The sequence below is a fragment of the Homo sapiens genome, chromosome 2 (genome assembly GCF_000001405.40).
Source record: "Homo sapiens chromosome 2, GRCh38.p14 Primary Assembly".
Taxonomy (NCBI): domain Eukaryota; kingdom Metazoa; phylum Chordata; class Mammalia; order Primates; family Hominidae; genus Homo; species Homo sapiens.
In genome coordinates, this window is record NC_000002.12 from 139718610 (window position 1) to 139735206 (window position 16597).

General features: G+C 35.1%; 1 pseudogene, besides 1 other annotated feature; it reads right to left on the reverse strand.

Moving 5' to 3' along the window:
- Positions 2808 to 3778: an enhancer, noted in NCBI's record as "OCT4-NANOG hESC enhancer chr2:140478986-140479956 (GRCh37/hg19 assembly coordinates)". NCBI's record gives its function as "activates a minimal SCP1, AML or CMV promoter by ChIP-STARR-seq in naive H9 embryonic stem cells {active_cell/tissue: H9 hESC(naive)}" and the evidence as "EXISTENCE:reporter gene assay evidence [ECO:0000049][PMID:30033119]".
- RPL9P13 (ribosomal protein L9 pseudogene 13) lies at positions 14099 to 14679 on the reverse strand (annotated as a pseudogene).

The following is a 16597-nucleotide window of genomic DNA, read 5'->3' on the forward strand; positions in this document are numbered from 1 at the left end:
AGTCCCTGCTACTCGGGAGGCTGAGGCAGGAGAATGGCGTGAACCTGGCAGGCGGAGCTTGCAGTCAGCCAAGATGGTGCCACTGCACTCCAGCCTGGGCGACAGAGCGAAACTCTGTCTCAAAAAACAAGCAAACAAACAAACATTTCAAATGCGTATTTTTCACCTGTCATATGCCCTTAGGGATTGAATAAAGCATCAATCACCAGCTTTAGGTTATTCATCAAACCGACCAGTCAGGCTGATCTGGTCAGTTAGGTTAGCTTTCAACCCAGGGGGAAAACAAAACAAAATGAAACAAAAAAACAGTTTCAGTGTTCAGTGTTTCTTTACCCTGTCCCCATATTAGAATCTCCTGGGGTGACTTTATAAGGTACCAATGCTTGAACCTCATCTGCAGAGATTGTGGTATATGCAGGGTGGCCTCAGAGGTGGGGAGTAGGGAGCTGCAGTCAGGACATGGCATTTAAAAATATCCTCCAGTGATTTTAATGTGCAGCCAACACTGAGAAACACTGCTCTAGGAAAAAGTAGCCCACCCAAAATGAAGTGACAAAGTAAGAGAAATGGTCATTTAACTGACTGTTTACAGAAAGCATTGCTCTGAAAAGTGCTTTGAGGATTACATACAACTCTTTAAATTACCTTGATAAAATCAGAATGGCATATAGAATGTATGGGACACATCACAGGAAAGCGTATGAGTATTACTATCAGGAAACAGGTTTACGTATCCTAATAGGATGAGAGAGATTCTGAGCTGCTTCTCTGCAGGAGAGTAATGCTTTTTTCTCCTGGTATCCTTTCCTCAGGGCCCTGAGTTATAGCAAAAGAAAATAAAATGGAACCCTGGAGGAGCCCCATAGGAAATCCATGTGAGAAAAACACCGCACTTTATAAGTGCATGCGGAGCAGGTAGGAGGAGCAGAATCATTTCTGCACCTGAGTTTTGCTGTACTTCCAACATTTCAGATCTTAGGCAATAATTATTTAGTGCAATAACAAAATATCATTCAATAACTACTATCAGGAATATAATGTGTTGAGGGCAGATTATTTAATGCAGCACAAGTAGGTGCTTCACATACATTAACACATTTTGTCTTCAAAAAAATCTATCCAAGGTGATATTTTATCTCTACGTTTTAAATGAAGAAATAGGCAGAGAAAAATAACAGAATGTGTTCAAGATCACTTAGATGAAAAGTCATGGAGTGGGGATCCAAAGTCAAGCTTTTTTAGACTATAAATTAATGTTCGTTGACGACAGTACTCCACAGTGCTATTATGATAAGTCCAACACAATGTCAGGTACAGGGGAAGAATGCTCACAGAGGGAAAATTATAACTGACCAAAGACTCCCAAGTTACTGTTCTGGAGTCAGAAATGCTCCTGAAGGCTACCAGTTCTCTTTTCTCTCCTCTCCCCATCTTTTTTCAACCAAATGATCAGATTGTCTCAGCATACATCTTTCTTGAGAATTATAAGGATGAACAACCTGACTTAGAAAAGGAATATTCACATGTATCTCAAAGCCAAATGCAGAGATCATAAGGAACACGGGTCAAAGCCTGGTGTTAAGAAACAGAGATTAGCAATGTGGAGTTAAAGTTCACAGCTAGAGCCAGAGACGGTGAACTGTCCAGCTGGCAGCAACCACATCAAATGGAGTCCAAACGACTACAGAGGAGATCTTTGCCTGGGATGCTGAGAAATTCAACCAGGCTTTTGGATTCCAAACTCCAGGTTGAGGAAAACTGAAACTGCAGCTTCTAATGTGATGATAATGAGACATTTAAAAATGAAAATGTAAAGATTATATTAAGCTAGGTAATTTCTTTCACTTCCATGCCATTCCTGGAGCCACCTGAAAGGAAATACCAATGATTCATTTTCTCACTCTCCTACCCTTCTGAGAAAAACCTACCAATAGTCTGTAAATAATAAGAAAGGGAGAGCTGGTGGCAAAGGCTTTGAGACAAACTCCACACACATACGCCATTCTTCTAACTAGATTTTGTGCTTTTTATGTGTTCAGTCAAGAATGAAAACAATATTATAAATGTTGTGCTTTCCTGGGTTGACAGATGCTCATCTTGGGATGGAGTTATATACACAAATAGAAAATGAGCTGTAACAAGTTCTTTGCAGAGGATAAGTGGGTGTTTTTAGAATCCATGATGAAAACCCACTGTAGCATGTATATATTTTTCCTTATTACACAGATTTCTTCTGTAGAACTTTCCTTCCACCACTTTAACCCTCTAACTGACAATTTTCAGTGTTCCTATGTTATTACTGCTTACTTGGTATAAAGCAGAAAGGATGTTTTACAGCAGCTATATGAAGTACCATTGAGAATTAAATTGCTTTTCTTTCTCCCTCATCATTGTGAATTTGGTACAGATGAAAGATGAAAGATTGGCAGCCAGGGAGTCAAGGGTTCACTGTTATCTATGAGATGTACATGATATGGGTAGAAGTGGCCCAAGCTTCCCTCTTCAAAACAGCCGTATGCCAGCTTTCAAATCTTGGAGAAAGAGCTCTGTGGGAGAGTGTGTCATTTGTAAAAGACAGGATTTCTTAAAAAAAAAACAAAAAAACAAAAAAAAAACAAAGAGTAGGGATTTACAAAGCAGTCAGAGGAAAAAAAAAAAGTTGGGAAAATAATTTACAAAGGTGCCTTTTGGGTTCCTGTTTAGCTCGAGAATGGTGTGAGCCACACTCCTTTTATTTTGCTCATCTTCATCTGTGTGTCTGTTGGCCACCGGAATTCTCTGCCCATTTTTGTTGTGTCTGAACAAGCGCAGTTCCTGTAACAAACTCTCTCAGCCATAGCCAAGTCCTGAAGCTTCCTATAAAAAGACACAGTCTGAGACTCCAGACCATTGTGGAATGTCTCCACATGCTGCTGCTTTCACTTCATCTGTTTTCTATCTGCCTGTTCTTGCCTAGGTGATTTAGCTTTCTTACTGCCTTGCACCTGGTCTCTGCCTTGCAGCTTAGCTTGATTCTAGCTTTGTTCCTGCACAAAGCTTTTAGCTCCCTCCTTGCAGCTTGGCAGCCAGGTCTCTACCAACCTATACCAAGCCCTGCCTCTTGAAAACCTGGCCCAGGCTCAGGCAGTTCTGACAGGATACATCACACGCAAAATTTGTAATGGGTTTCTTTCCATCCTGCCTGAACCCTTCTCTTTCCTGTTGTTTCTCATTGATTTCAAAGCGCCTCTAAACTGCCCAGGGCTTCACCATGAGGGAGCTCACCAAATGCTCAAGTCAATCCTTTTCCTCAGCTATCCACCCTGCTGGGCTTCAAGCTGCAGCATTTACCTTCCTTTCTTCCTACTGTGAGATTTTGATGGCAGACTCACCTAGCTTGCTTTGTCAAGCATAGCTTCTCATAATGCAATATTTAATACACGTTTTTATCATGATGATGAATGTGCTGACCCCACAATTACATTTTGTCTAAATGTTTTATCTCTCCAGTGCAAACCTGCTACTACTCCTGTGATCTCTATTTTTGTTTATAGTTCCACCATTTTTCCAGGCTTCCAGCCCCAAATAGCAAGAACTCCTCTGATTTCCCTCTTGCTGTCACACTAAACCTTCTTTCAAATCCTGATTCTCATCCATCCCCAATTTTCTATTCCCACTACCGTGGGATATTGAAAGTGTCTCCTAATTTGCCCTCCTGCTTATAGACTTCTCCCTTCAAATCCACTTTATATCCTACTGCCACTTTAAGCTTTCAGAAGCTGCTGAATTTCTGCTCCTCATTTACTTACTAAAGTCATTCCAGAAAAGGTAGTTAATTCCTTTCCATTTCAGTTTCTCATCTATAAAATTATGATATCTCAAAATAATTATATTGTTAATTATTTTTTAGTGCTCCATTGTGACAAGGATTCTTTGCTTGACCAAACTTTAGTCAGGATTCTGAACCTTCTCCTAAGCCCATCTGTGCATTTACTGGTAAAATCTAATTTTAACAAAAACCCTGCATCCTTGATATTGGCTCACCCTCTACATCTGATCAGTGATTCCTCATCCACCATTTCACAGGTGATGGCTGCTCACTCTGGCCTATCTTCAGCAAGAATCCATTCAGATTTGTTCAGCTAGAATCTTCGTTGCCCCTCATATCTCCTCTTAAGTAATTTTTCATACATTGACCTCCCGCTCTGCTCCTTGGCTATTAATTCTTGCTTGTCCATGCTATATACAAAGTTGAACCGTATCTCTCTCTCCCCTACTGCAAAAATCCCATGGCCATAGTCTGTATACCTATTGGGATGATCTGGAAAAAAGTCTTCTCTGCCATGCTTTATCAAACATCAATGAATTTTTTTCTTCATTAATTGTCATAGAACAAAGCACAAGACTTTGAAAGAAAAATAAAAACTTGATACTCTAATTTACTATGCCAAAAGGAAAAAAAGTAGGCTGAAAGTTGAGTTGTATGAGAAGCTGTCTTTCCTTTTGTTCCTAAGCAGATAGCTACAGATAAAATGTTAAATATATCCACAGGTAGCTACTCTATGTTCAGCTTATCTTATGCAAAGTGCCAATTTACTGAGCATGAGACAAATACATAATTGACTCTTCCCTTACCTGCTTTTTTTCTCTTGACAACATGTGGATTACCAAACCCTCCCTCTTTCCCTTCTAGCCCACTTTTCCCCTTTAAATATTGAAGCTCTCAGATTCATCTTTGGAGAAAGGCACAGACCACAGATTGTTCTGTGATTCTGTGTTTTTTCCTTGTGGGCATGTCCTTAACCTTGGAAAAATAAACTTCTAAATTGAGTAACAGCTATCTGAGATACTTTTTGGTTTACAAATTCATGAGCAATGAAACGGACTCTGAGTGGAGATGGCCCTGACATTTCATAAATCTCCTGTGGGTGCTTGGTACCAGCTTAGGCTATCTTTACTGCTCTATCCAATAGGACAATTTGCTGAGGTGTGGGAGCTCCCTGCTCCAGAGAATCCCTGATCTCCCAAATTTTTGTTGAGAGCTAAGGTTTACTTTGCTGTCCAACTTTTCTGGAGTTTCAGCTCACTTCCAACAAGGAAGAGAAGTTTGAGTTTCTTCCTGCTTCTAAGATAGAGAGCAGTCTTGAGCCTGGGCCCCATTCATAGATAAGTAGCTGAATTGGGGTTTTGACTTGGAAATTCTCATTAATGACTAAAAGTTAAGATTGACAGCCAGCTGATCTTAATTTCTCTTTACCATTAGAGCATTCCATAATTGTATTGTGTGTTTTTGTTGTTGTTGTTGTCATTGTTGCTTCAGTCTTTTTCCCATCAGATTTGACCAACTGTACCCAACTTGGTGAAATCCAAATGAGAATTTCAAATTATGGAGAAAAAGGCCTCTGACTTGGCTAAAATTCCACACAGCTGCAAAAACAAAAAACAAAACAAAACAAAACAAAACAAAAATACACGTGCTTGGTTTCTCTGTTCACTCCTTTCTTAAAATAATGGTTTTTTGTTTACTTTTATTCCACCCTATTCCTCCTTTCCCTTTTGTCATCTTTAGTACCAAGCAAAAAAAGAAAAAAAAAAGAATTAGAGAAGGCTTCTAATACACTGACCTCTTTAAGAACTCAGGATAAAGGTGCTGCTCATCCCCTTTTGGGGTGTTCTGCTTTCTTTATGGAATTTCAACAGTCATGGGCAGATTCTTCTCAGGTCTAAAGCCCTGCTTTTTTGTATTGCATTACCTAACCTCTTTGGCTTTTGTGGGTACCAGAGATTACCTTATACTATGAGAGGATTTGACCTTGGTATGTGTAATTTTGGACAAGAGCTACAATGTTAGTGATGGTTAAGAATAGGTTACAGGAAATAGTCATTACTACAGGGGGCCACTCATTTCTTTGCACATTTAGATAAGAAAATTGTGCATGATTTCTTTGCCCTGTTCCTTAAACGGCTCCACCCAAAAGCCAGTAATCGAATCAAGCTAAACTGAAAATACCACCTATCAAACTAAGTGACTTTAACAAAACTCTTTATAAAGAAAATTTACATCTTTAAAGGAAATCTCCATTTTGTAAGAGCATCTGTATTGGTCTGTTCTCATGCTGCTAATTAAGACATACTTGAGACTTAGTAATTTATAAAGGAAAGAGGGTTAATTGACTCACAGTTCCATATGGCTGGGGAGGCCTGGACAATCATGGCAGAAGGCAAAGGGGAAGCAAGGCACATCTTACATGACATCAAGCAAGAGAGCTTGTGTAGGCAAACACCCCTTTATAAAACTATCAGATCTCCTGAGACTATCATGAGAACAGCACAGGAAAGAGCCACTCCCACGATTCAATTACCTGCCACCAGGCCCCTCCCATGGCACGTGGTAATCATGGGAGCTACAATTCAAGATGAGATTTGGCAATACAGCCAAACCCCAGCATCTCTGTCTCTGCACCTAAACCACTAGGAAGTATAACTAGAGTGAAGACAATAGCTTAAAGTTTACACAACAGAACTTTCCTTTGTTTCAATCTAATTGGAAATTAGATATTGCCTTTGAGATGTGCATTTTCCACCTTGCTTCACCTAAGTCATGTCTTTGGAGATGCAAATTTAGAGTTGCATCTAGTTAGCAATTATTTAGGACATGAAACAGATAATCAAGAAATTAATAGTCTAAAGTAGGGAAGGCAACATTTTTGAAAACAAGCAAATGAAAAATCTTAAATGTATAAGATCTGCCTCGTCTGGGTCTGTTTATATGTGCCATATATTTATATGTGTTATGTAGAAATAATATGAAACTACCAATTATATGAAAGAGCTCTAATTACTTGACTAAAAGTAAGTGTTTATCAAATTAATAGAAGCTAGCTCAGAGTCATTTCTGTTCACACGACTTTAGTAATCTTTGGTAAGATTAATTTGGTAAATTTAGTTTCAAAATTCTCCAGTAATTTAACATCATGTTATGATAAATTAAGTAATTCTAGGGTTTTCACTGGAAATTAGTGGAATAGTAGGAAGGTAAGATGTGTTTTTGGTACTTTATAAAAGACATGAGGATGTGGTTTTTGCTTAGAAAAATGTAGTTTTTTTTCTAGTTTAAAGGACCTTTCTACTGGTGTTGAGATTAAAAACCACCATTCACATCCAACCATTATTTTATAAAGTGTTAAGTTTGTATTGATTTTTCATGGCTAGAGTTACAAAGTAAAAACTATAAGATCTTTATTTGTATGAGTGTGTATGTGTGCTTAGGTGTGTTATGTGTATGTACATGTGTTTTGCTATGTATTGTGCCCATGAGATACCAAATTAGTTTAAAAATTAAAGTACTCATAAATTTAGTAAACAAGCCCAAATGCTTTTCAAGGTCATGTGACGTAAGTAAATATTTAATAAATAAGCTGGCTTTATAATTATTGGTAAAATAAAATTAGAAATGTTTTCTGAATTGTCAACATATATTATCATTAGGTTTATTAGCCAAATGGTTATATATTTATCCCTGCTAAATATTATAAGGTGTAAAGATTTGGTATGGGGGTTAAAAAACTATAAATGCAGCTCAAAAAAGAATTATCTTTGTATTTTTTAAATAAATAAAACATTTAATATTGTTGGTTTAATGAAAATAGCTAAATCCTGAGTTATAGGCAAAAAAAAAAGCACCGAACACATTTATTTAAACTTAAATTTTCTACTTAGGTAAATACCTGAAATTCACAGACCATAAAAATGGTTAACAGGGAAATAACTTTAAATGATGACTATCACAGTTTTCATAAGTAATCTAGGTAAACTATTTAAAATACTAATTAATTAGGTCAATATAATGGCATAAGTACTTATAAACTTGTCATATACTTTAGAATTTAAGATTAAATTAAATAATAAATATTTATTAAATATCTGAGACATTTTCAATTTTTGTTTAATTATAGAACTTTAAAAAAAAAAACACACACAATGCTTTCCTATTAAAAGGAAACAATTTTTCTCTAATTCAAAGGCTATTTGTAAAACAAGGTAAAAGGAACCAGTAAATAAGAGAGATGGAAAGAAAGTTATAAACATATAGAGGTGTTTTTAGTAGGAAAGTTTAAAAGGAAAATAATTTTATATGAGAAAAAATCTTATATGGTAAATTTTTTTGTTCTAAAATAAATTGACTAATATTTAAGAAAATGGGATTTTAGGATAAAACAGGAAATTCAAGCTTGTCAATGGTTTGCGTAAGTCATAATAAGTTTGTAAAAAGTGAATTTGTGGAAAAACAAACTTTATTTGATCAGATTGGCTATAATTAAAAGGTAAGTATTTATAATACTGTTTCTAGAGATTGGGCTTTGATATTAAAAATATACTAATAAACTAAAGAATTGATTAAAACAACAAAAACACAAGAGATTTCAATTTTTTTTAACCCAACGGTTTCCCTTTTACTGCATCTCAATGTTTCCAGCTTTCTCCTTCAACTTTTCCATCAGCTCCTATAACCTTTTTTCCTCAGGTTCTAACTGCTGTTGTGGTCTGATGTGGTTTAATCTTAAAGGTCTAAATAAAACGTTTTATTTCTTCTGTGCTCTTGGCTTTAAATTCTTCTATGAAATGAGAAACATTCACTTATGACCCGGGACACACTTTTTCTATGTCTAACTAATTCAAGTACCATTTTCATTAGTTTTGAACTCTAAATGGACTCCCCATAGGGAAGAGCAATCACACTTCAGGCCTTCTTTTTTCTTTTTGATAACTAACCTAACAAACAGACATTATGTTTTATTGAAATAATTTCTATATCATTGTTACTAATTTTTTGGATTTGCCTAGGAAAACTGAAATTAAAAAAGATTAAGGTTATTACATCCATGTAACTTTTCGTATTGCTTTTAAAGGCCTTGTGCTCTTAAGTTATAGGACTTTAATTCCTGGGTCTAAAAAGTATACCAAATACTGCTAAATCTTAAACACTGACACCAATTAGATTGTCATCTTCAGACTTGGGAGAGGATGACAATCAAAATAAATATATTTGTGAGACACAGAATCAGAAATTAAAACTATTCAACCCCTCTAGGCCCAGGGTCTATTACAAAAGAGATGGGCATGTGAGATTTTAAGGGCTGATTTTGAGAGACATAACTCATTCAGAGTTTCTCTATAAATTAAAAATTATTATTAAAGGCACACTAATGCAAGAGCAGCAGCTGGGCCCCTGTATCATATTAACAAGGTTTTCTTGGAGCATTCACCCATTATTTAATTTGAAAAAAAACGAAAGGCCATAAAAAGGTTTATAGAAATTATATCTTACGGTCAAGATGATTAGAATTTAATAGATTTGTTTAGAAGATTTGAGAGACAGATTTAATTGGTCTCATAATGTGTTTATTAGGGCTTATTATTTGGGAATGTAAGTCTCCTATCTCAAATAATAAAGGCTTTTGCTTCTTTTTTTGAAGTCTTTTGGTTGTCACTTTAACTAAATGAAAGGCTTATTTTAGGGATCTCCAAGCCCTGGGCCATGCACTAATACAGGTTCGTGGCCCTTTAGGAGCCAGACTACACAGAGTTGGTGAGCAGCAGGCAAGCAAGCATCACCCCCTGAGCTCTACCTCCTATCAGATCAGCGGTGGCATTACATTTTCATAGGAGCACGAACCCTAATGTGAACTGTGCATGTAAGGGATCTAGGTTGCACTCACCTTATAAGAATCTAATGCCTGATGATCTGAGGTGGAACAACTTCATCCTGAAACCATCCCCACCCCCTGCATTCGTGGAAGAATTGTCTTCCACAAAACCAGTTCCTGGTGACAAAAAACTTGGGGACCACTGGCTTATTTTACAATGACCTGAGATACTATTTTGTGATATCTAGTGTTTTAAACTTTTGATATTTGACAAAATTTCCAAAATGAAATATTAAATTTAGTCTTTTGACCTCATTAATTATTTCATATTAGATCCCCTGAAGTCCCAAAGAGATATATTTGGCTTATTTAGTATAATAATATCATACCGGAAGCATTGTCAAATACAAAATGGTATTTAACCTTCTTTGTATTAGATTTATATTATTTGGATTAAATAATAACACATTGGCATAAATTTGTTATTTGCTTTCCAAAATCTTGCTGGGCGCAGTGGCTCACGCCTGTAATCCCAGCACTTTGGGTGGCCGAGGTGGGCGGATCACGAGGTCAGGAGATGGAGACCATCCTGGCTAACATGGTGAAACCCTGTCTCTACTAAAAATACAAAAAAATTAGCCAGGTGTGCTGGCACATGCCTGTAATCCCAGCTACTCAGGAGGCTGAGGCAGGAGAATTGCTTGAACCCGGGAGGTGGAGGTTGCAGTGAGCCGAGATCGTGCCATTGCACTCCAGCCTGGACAACAAGAGTGAAACTCCATCTCAAAAAAAAAAAAAAAGAAAGAAAACTTTCTCTTATTTTAAGCATTTATAGCTTTTAACAATTGAGTATTCCCTAGTGAGCAGAATTTAAAACACAATTTATTTCTACATAATTTCTCTAATATTTAGAAACTATTTGTGAATATTCTTAATCTATGGCAATGTAGTTATTTTCATAAATTCAAAATGAGAAACTGTTTTATTTTACAACAGTACATAATTGAAGACACTGGTTATTTTACCAATGCTTTAACTGGAATGATGTATTTTCATATAACCTTGAGAACATGAGGCTGACTTATACAGCTGATAAAAGCCCCCTGGGAAAACTGGCCTCATACCTCATCTTTTATAGGGGCCTTACCTGTGGTATGTAAAGAATGTCCATTTCTGGCAGGCCTAGGAACTCCAAGTTTTATCAGGACCTTAAAAAGAGAGGAATTCACTCATTTCATACAGGTATATGCAGACACAAATAAATTTTTGGCTGGGCTTGAGGTTTTTAAAAATCTCTTAATGTTAGATTCCTTATGGAAAAGTTTCCAGCAAAGCCAATTAAAAAAGAGATCTTATATGGCAAATAATTATTTCTCCTGCACTTTATGCAAATAATCAAGCTAAGTATATAAGACTACAATTTATTTTACAAATTAATTGGTCTTACTATCATTTTTTCTTTAATAAAATCGGGGAATTGAAGAGATAAAATTATGTTTCCAAATAAACTATACTATACCTGTTATTAGATTCTTGCCTTGTCCAGTGTTTTTCAGTTTTTATTATTTTCTACAAATTGGACTGAATCCTAAAATTTTTCTGGCTGCAAGTCTCCAAAATCATGACTTTTTTCTTCTATTGACATTTTGCCTGATTTCAAAACACTAAAAATTAAGTTATGCTTTCCTTAAATTTTTGCAAATGGATACAAGATGACTTAAACTTTTGAGGAAAATAACAGCAACGTATTCATATACATGAAACATTTTCATACCTGCCTACTGATTTATGGACTTCAGAATAATATGGCTTCTATCAGTTTTCCAGGATTGTGCTACCTTTTTGTTTTTTATTTTCCATCTTTTGCTCCGTTTTCTTTCTCCCTATCTCCTCCTATTTGTTTTCTTCATGAGACATGAGTCTTCACAACCTGCTAAAAATGAGTTTGCCTAATAACGTGGGACCTATACCTCTAGGAATAAACTGTTCTATCAGCAAAAGATCAGAAAAAACCCAAGACCAGAGACTTGTTTTCTTCTAAAATACTTTCTCCTAAAGATTTTAAAAGGAAAAAAGAGGAGAAATGTAAAACAAAAATAAAAACTTGGGACCCCAATTCACTACGCCAAAAGGAAAAATTAAGCTTAAAGCTGAGTCATGCAAAAAGCTGCGTTTTCTTTTGTTGCTAAGCATATAGCTACAAAGGATTAAATATCTCCACAGGTAGCTACTATGTTCAGCTTATCTTACGTAAAGTACCAATTTGCTGAGCATAAAACAGATACATAATTGACCATTCCCCTATCTGCTCCTTTTCTCTTGCAACATATCAATCGCCATACCCCTCCCTCTTTTCCCATCCAGACCACTTTTCCTCTTTAAATATTGAATCCCTTAAATTCATATTTGGAGAAAGGCACAGACCACAGATTGATCTGTGATTCTGTGTGTTTTTCTCCTGGACATGTCCTTAACCTTCGCAAAATAAACTTCTAAATTGATTGAGACCTATCTCAGATCCTTTTTTGGTTTACAGCTCTTAACCAGTCTTTGAAAGCTTTTAAATTTCCATCTATTTAGTCAAACTTATTTTCCTTTTCCCTCATTTTACTTTCAATGATTTAATGTTGGTGAAGATAATAATGACATTAATGCCTAATATTTATTTAACATTTACTATGTGCCAGAGCTATTTTTCTCACTTTTACATGAACTAACTCATTTAAACCTTAAATTATAACAAGAATAATTATAATGCACTTTTTGCAAATGGGAAATTAAAGCTAAATGAAATTAAGATAATTTGTCCCAAACTGCACAGCTAGAAAGTGGAGGAGCTCGAATTTGAACTTACAGCACCTCTCACATAGGTAAAGTTTTAAGTCCTTTACACAAATCAGTTACATTTTTAAAACTATTACTCTTTTATTGTGAAACATTAAGAACTGACAGAAAAGTGAACAAATATGTATAGTTTATGTAGTTATTACAAGACAAAACCCAAGTAAACTATAGAAAATTGTCAACTTCCCTGGAGCTTCTTTGTGCCCTCTCAATTACCTCTTCCATTCACAAATGTAACTACTCCCTTGATTTTGTTTCATGGTAAACATTTCCTAGGTTTTATTTATAGATTTATAGTCTTATCAGCTAAATATGTACCCTAGCAATTTATAAATATATATAGCATACAGTATGTTTGAATATACAGGCATTTTATATATATAGTATACAGACATTTATATATAATAATTTAAAATTATATAAAATTATATATGATTTACATATAATATCTGTATATTCAAACATACTGTATGCATTCTTTTGTGCTAGGTTCCTTTTACTCAATATTTTATATGTGAGATTCTTCCTTGTGGTTGCATGTACCAGAAATTAATTCATTTTCATTCTATATATTATTTCATGAAAAGGTCATTTTTTAAATCCATTTTTACCTTGGATGGATTTTTGAATTGATTCTACTGTACATCTCCTGTATTTACATGCTAGGGCATACATGCATCCATTTCTGTTGAGTATATATCTAGAAATAAAATTTCTGGGCCAAAGAAGATAAGTATGTTTAACCTCACTAAAATATGCCAAACTATTTTCCCCAAAATGGTTGTACCTATTTATATTACCACCAGCAATGTACCCAAAGTTCTCATTGTTTCTCACCCTCATCAATATTTCACCTAGTAGTCTTTCTAATTTAGATCATTCTGACAGAACCACAGTGGAATCTCACTGAAGTTTTAATTTGCATTTCCTTGATTACTAGTGAGTATGAGCAAAGTTTCACTTGTCTGAATACTTGAATATCCTGTTGCTTGAAATGCCTGTTCAGGTATCTTGCCATTTTTATATCAAATTTTGTGTCTTTTTCTATTTGCTCAAATATTTTTATGTATTTTTCATATGAGTGCTTTATGATTATATTTATTGCATATATATTCTTGTATGTTTTAGCTTGCATTTTCATTTGCTTAATGTTTTTTGGTTTTTATTAATATCGTCCAAAATAGCAAGGTTTTCTTCTTTTTCTTGTTTTCAATAGGGGGCATTTATTTCATCTTTAACATGGAACAAATAGTCCTCAGAAATCATCCAACTTCTTTCTTTGTTTTATTTTTATAATTTAAACTTTAACTTTAGATTCAGGGGGTATATGAATAGGTTTGTTACAAGGATATGTCGCCTAATGCTGAGGTTTGGTGTATAAATGATCCCATCACCCAAGTAGTGAGCATGGTACCCAATAGTTAGTATTTCAACCCTTGCCATGATGCTCTCCCTTGTACTAGTCCCCAGTGTCTATTGTTCCCATCTTTATGTCCGTATGTACCCAACCAGCTTCTCATTGTTTCTGCATCTGAACAACTCGTGGATCTCTTTATCAGCCTGTTGAACTATTTTTTTTTTTTCAGATGAGATCAGGTGCATTCAAGATGGTATGGCCATAGACCTACTCCATTTTCAGAAACATAGCTTCTATCCAATTTTTTTTTGGATATTTTTTGTTTTTAACTGTTGGCTTACTGAACCAAAGCAGCTGAATTTGATACGAGTTCCATGTCATTTCCTTCTAGGACTACCTCCACTTTCTGGGCTTGAGATACTAAGCAAGTAACACCTAGCCTCATCTGAACCTGCAGATATATTTTTTACTTAAGAAATTTTGTATTTAAATGAGACCCATTCTCCTTAATAAGGATGTTGATAAATAAGTCAGCATACAGAGGACTCACCTTATTACAGAAGCTGTGTAATACCCTTGATTATGTTCTGTATATGACTAAAGACAATGGAAATGGTAGCCAGTTATTTCTCCATTATTTGTCAAACAGGAGTCTTCCTTTTCTTTCTAAGCAGATGGAGTTCTACCTTGATATAATTTTTTAAAATTTATTTAGTTTACTAGTTAATTCATTTTTAAATACAGATGTGTGTTATGAACATTGATATGATTGAAGTCACTCTGCAGAGCTCCTCTGGGGCCCATGACAATAACTGTGCATCCTTTCAGAGTGATGTTAACAGACTGATGTATCTACCTACCTGTCTAGTTATCTACTAATTTATTTCTTTGCATTACAAAGTAAGTTACAGATAATACACATTCCTGAACACTCCAATATTCATATTATTAAAATAAATTCAATAAATGTTTATGGGTTTTTTGTTTTTTGATTTTTGAGGTAAATTTACATAGAATGTGTATTAGTCCATTCTTTTATTGCTATAAAGAAATACCTGACACTGGGCAATTTATAAAGAGAAGAGGCTTAATTGGCCCACAGTTCCACAGGCTGTACAGGAAGCATGATTCTGCCATCTGCTTGTCTTCTGGGGAGGCCTCAGGAAACTTACAATCATGGTAGAAGGCAAAGTGGGAGCAAGGGGTCTTACACGGCAGGAGCAAGACCAAGGGGGGTGGGGGAGGTGTTACATACCTTTAAAACAACCAAATCTCGTGATAACTCACTATCACTAAGAAAAACACCAAGGGGGATGGTGTTAAACCATGAGAAATCTCCCCCATGATCCAATCACCTCCCACCAGGCTCCACCTCCAACACTGGGTATTAAAATTGAACATGAGATTTAGGAGAGGACGCAGATACAAACCATATCAGAGTGAGGTGTACAATCTTGATTACTGTTGAATAAAATTTTTTGAGGTAGAGGTCTTACTTTGTTTACTGGGCTTGTCTGAAACTCCCAGGCTCAAGTAATTCTCCTGCCTCAGCCTCCTGAGTAGCTGGGACTACAAGTGTGCACCACCATGCCCAACCCAGTTTAGTAAGTTTTGACATATGCATATACAGATTAATGTGGCCAAATTCATATGAATAAAATAATACAGTATATACATTTTGGGATAAAGTTTCTTTCATTAGTGTAATATTTTAAAAATTCATCCATGTTGTTGTGACTACCTGTGCTTCATTCTTTTTATTGCTGGTTAGTATTTAATTGTATGAATATACAGTAGTTTGTTTCTCTGTTCTCCTATTCATGAGCACCTAGGCTGTTTCTAGTTTTTGGCTACTGTGATATATCAAGCTACCATGAGCATTCTTAGAAAAACATTTAGTGAACATATGCTTCTCTATCTCTTGGGTAAAAACCTATAAGGAAAATTGTTACATTATAGGACAGGTACATTTTAGATTTCTAAAAAACTGTCAGAACTTTTTCAAAGTGTTTTACACTCCATGAACAGTTAAAGAGTGTTCTGATTACTCTGCATCTTCATCAGTATTTAGTATTATTATCAGAAACTTGTTTGTTTGCTTTAGAAATTCTGGTAAATGTTGTCTCCCTAATCAGTAATGATGTTGAAATCATTTCATGACCTTATTGGCCATTTGTATATCTCCTTTTGTGAAGTGATCATTCTATTCTTTTGCCCATTTAAAAAATTTGTCTTTGTCCTTTTATTGCTGAATTATAGACTTTTTCATGTATATATATGAAAAATATATATTTCATATAGATAAAAAATTTATATTTATATGGAGAGGTATCTAACTACATGTAGATTTCATATATATATATATTTCAAAATTATGTTTGTAAAATATTTTCTCCCATCTATGAATGCTTATTCATTTTCTAAATGTGTGAACTAATTTAGCTTTTATTTTTTCTTTTATGGTTATACCTTTTTGCATCCTGTCTAAAATACCTTTGCATACTTCCAAGTTGCAATGATACTGCTTTCTCTTTTTTACAAGCATAAATATTTAGCTTTAATGCTTAGGTTTCCAACTCATTTAAATTTAAATTTTGTGGGTAGTGCAGCTGCAGTTAGTTTATTTTTTATTAAAAACTCTAGTTGTTTCAGCATATTTTGTTAAATAGATTTTCCTTTTCTCATTGGATTGCTTTGCAACTTTATTGAGAATTGGTTGACTATATAATTGAAGGATTATTTCTGAGTTCTCTGTTCTCTTCTACTAATT